Source organism: Homo sapiens, chromosome 6 (genome assembly GCF_000001405.40).
Source record: "Homo sapiens chromosome 6, GRCh38.p14 Primary Assembly".
Taxonomy (NCBI): domain Eukaryota; kingdom Metazoa; phylum Chordata; class Mammalia; order Primates; family Hominidae; genus Homo; species Homo sapiens.
In genome coordinates, this window is record NC_000006.12 from 18,020,283 (window position 1) to 18,024,093 (window position 3,811).

General features: G+C 45.6%; 1 annotated feature.

Annotated features, from left to right (window-relative positions):
- Positions 1,978-2,931: an enhancer, noted in NCBI's record as "OCT4-NANOG-H3K27ac hESC enhancer chr6:18022491-18023444 (GRCh37/hg19 assembly coordinates)". NCBI's record gives its function as "activates a minimal SCP1, AML or CMV promoter by ChIP-STARR-seq in primed H9 embryonic stem cells {active_cell/tissue: H9 hESC(primed)}" and the evidence as "EXISTENCE:reporter gene assay evidence [ECO:0000049][PMID:30033119]".

The following is a 3,811-nucleotide window of genomic DNA, read 5'->3' on the forward strand; positions in this document are numbered from 1 at the left end:
CCGCCATATAGTCCACCCCTGGCGGTGGGCTCCTGCGCGGCCTAAGCTTCTCCGACGGGCGCCGCCCCTATGCTTCACGGCGCCCAGTCCCATCAAACGCCCAAACACTGAGAAGTGTAGGCGTCCGGCGCGGGGTTGACAGGCAGCTCCACCTGCAGCCCTGATAAGAGATCCACTAGGTGAGACTAGCTGGGCTCACTGAGTCTAGTGGGGGCTTAGAAAAAACCTTTATGTCTAGCTAAGGGATTGTAAATACACCAATCAGCATTCTGTGTCTAGCGCAAGGTTTGTAAACACACCAATCAGCACCCTGTGTCTAGCTCAGGGTTTGTAAATACACCAATGGACACTCTGTATCTAGCTAATCTAGTGGGGATGTGGAAAACTTTTGTGTCTAGCTCAGGAATTGTAAACACACCAATCAGCACCCTGTCAAAACGGACCAATCAGCTCTCTGTAAAACAGACCAATTGGCGCTCTGTAAAATGGACCAATCAGCAGGATGTGGGTGGGGCCAGGTAAGAGAATAAAAGCAGGCTGCTAGAACTAGTAGTAGTAAATAATGAAAACGTTTAGTATCTTGGTATGTGTAGGATTAAGTGCTTTGGATGTTTGAGTTTTGTTTGCTGTGGTTTTATGGATTGTAATGCCACGAAGATCTGTAGCTTTAATGTTTTTAGTTAGTGATAAAAGTGTGAATCCGCCAAGAGAAATAAGTAAGTGCTGATGTGTTGGTTTGAGAGCTGTAATATTCACTGCTAAGGTCTGTAATTTCTCTCCTGAGCCAGCAAGATAGTAAACCCGCCAGAAAGAAAAAACTTCAGAGACACTACTTTCTACAACTGTAATGCTCACTGTGAGGGTCTGCAGTTTCATTTTTGTAAGTCAGACCAAAAACCTGATTGTGGCCGTTGGGGAACTCTGCGTCCTTTGTAGCTACTGGTGTGAGTGTAAATTTTCTGTTGAGGGCCAGCAGTGTTTGTTAACTCTCCGGGAGTGCGGGGTGGCAGAGCCCAGGCCTGCACACCCGGAACTCGAGCTGGTTTGCAAGGGCTGCTGCAGGCCTGATTCTTGCCTGCGCCTCTCCATACGTGCCTGCAAGCTGAGGGAGTCGGCTTGGGCCTCAGTTATTCCAGAAGAGCTCCCACCGTGCAGCAGCGAGCTGAAAAGCGACTCAAGGAGGGCCAGGGTGGGTGCCGAGGCCTAGAAGGCCCCGTGAGTGAGTGAGAGGGCTGAGGGTTGTTAGCGCACTGTCATTTCTCAGTTTCCTGAATGGCTGAGACTGCAAGTGTGTGCTACCACACGTTTGGCAACATCAGTTTTTCTTTTTGAGACAGGCCCTTATTCTTGCCTAGGCTGGAGTAGAATAGCATAATTATGACTCACTGCAATCTTCGCCTACTGAACTCATAAGCCTAGCATCCCAGCCTCCTGAGTAACTGGGACTACAGGTGTGCACCACCCTGGCTGGCTAACTTTTTTTGTATTTTTTGTAGAGATGAGGTTTTGCCGTGTTGCCCAGGCTGGTGTCAAACACCTGGTCTCAAGTAATCCACCTGTCTCCATCTCCCAACGTGCTGGGATTACAGGCGTAAGGTACCACACCCAGCCCCAGTGTTTAATTGTAGAACTGAGATAAAATCTTACCTACGTTGCTATCAAAGGAATTACTGTGAAACATTTGAAGCTTAAGCCTCAGGTCCTTCATTTAGATGTGCCTTTTTTATAGCTTTTTGCAAATTCTGTACGCTAAGTAATACTTGGCACAGTAAACTTAAGTTTCTTAATGAGCACCCCGAGTGTATAAACTCCAGACCTCATGCAATTTGGATCCCGTACTAATTGGGCGTGGTAAGTAACCAGACTGGAAGCTCCGTGAGGGCAAGAGTCCCCCAAGCCCAGCATTCAGAACCTGGCTGACAAGTGATAGGAGTTTAATAAACGTTTGTTGAGGACTGAGTGCTTGAAGATCATGTACATTTAATAAGGATCTGGAAAATAGTCATTATTAAGTGGCATTTTTTTGTATAAGGTGTCAGGCAGAAAGGAAAAACGCACTCAAAGATGTTTACATGCAGAAATATGCAAATGTGATTGGTTTCGAATCCACCCACAATACCTACGAAGAGTTTTCAACATCATAGGAACAAATTGCAGGTTTAGAAGTGTAAACTTTTCCCTTTGCTCTAAAATGAATTTGCTTTTTCCCACTTACTGTCATCTAGTAGAGACCATCTTTGGAAGACAGCTGTGGCAGTTTGCCCTTGTCTGCAAGAGCTTGCCAAAGGGGACACTGATGCAACATTAATCATATTCCAAGCTCCATACAGTGCAGGTGAAGTCATTAGAACAGCAAACACCCTGTCTGTTCCTTAAGAGACAGATGATTTTCATTCGGTGATAACTGGTATTTTTTGTGATAATGATGGGGAAGGTGAGGGCTTCACGAAAGCCGGTCAGCAATCAGTTGGGAACACAGGAACAGTGGTGTGTGTGTGCGCATGCACTCACATGGTCTTTGTTATAGCTGCCTCTGTAAATGGAGGGAAAAAAAACAAAAAAACAAAACAAAACAAAAAAACCAGCTGAATCCCCTGGGAATAGCAATTAACTGCAGCTTCAGTGCCTGAGCTAGTAATACAGTGAGCACGAAGACATTGCTGGGCTAGAAAGGTTTTGCTGTTCTTTCCTCCTCCGCTCCTCCTACCTTCTCTGGAATCCTTCCTCGAAGGCGCTCACCCTGCTCATTATCATAAAGAATGGCTGGAATGTGAGGATGACTGGGACTCACCCTGCCGTTCCATTGTCTGAATCTTAAACACTGCTCTAGTCTAGTCAAAGGAAATGAAAACAGAGGGACAACCCAGCTTATAAACACTGGGTACAAGATGTCAGTGCCATCGCTGCTCCCTGGAACACTGCTGTTTGTCACACAGAGCCCCATCTGTTTAAAGCAGAGGAATGCTCTTTGCTTGAAGAGGAAAGGATGAATTGATAGCAATATTCCCTAGCTTTTTCATTAGAGGGTTTGAAAAATAGCCTTTCCGAAGAATGACACCTTTATGTATAATCCAATTGAGCTATGAATTTAAGAACATTACTGGGCTGAGGTTTTCATCTGCTTTGATCAAGCCTAAGGTATGGCAGGCCTCCAAACCTTTCCTTTGAGAATGCTGCTGTTAATGAATTTCGTAAATCTGACAAGTTTTTGCTGCCCCCTCAAAAAAGTATTTGGCTTAATTTTATGGTGAGCAGAATTCAAAAGGCAAAAGGAAGGAAAATAACAGCTTTATTTTTTGAGACAGGGTCTCGTGCTGTTAGCCAGTCTGAAGTGCAGTGGCGCAGTCTCAGTTCACTGAAGCCTCCACCTTCTGGGCTCAAGCGATCCTCTTCCCTCAGAATAGCTGGGACTACAGGTGCACCCCATCAAGCCTGGCTAATTTTTGTGTTTTCAGTAGAGATGGTTTCACCACGTAGCCAGGCTGGTTTTGAACTCCTGACTTCAAGTGATCCGCCCTCCTCGGCCTCCTAAGGATTGAGGAAAAATAATTCAAGTATGGTTTGCAAATTCCTTTATACAATATGCTGATTTGCTGGCACCAGCTGAATAGCTGCAACATTTTGGGTACCACTCAGGAGTGGTCATAGAAGAGAGTGGGGAAGGGAACAAACAAAATAACCCAGAGAAAATAAAACTATACTTGAATTATTTTTCCCCAGTCCATTACCTATTAGGAACGCTGGAGGCCATAGGTATCGGTTGAGGAAAGGCAGCCATGCAGCAGGAGTAGGTGGTGTGGAAGTCATGCAA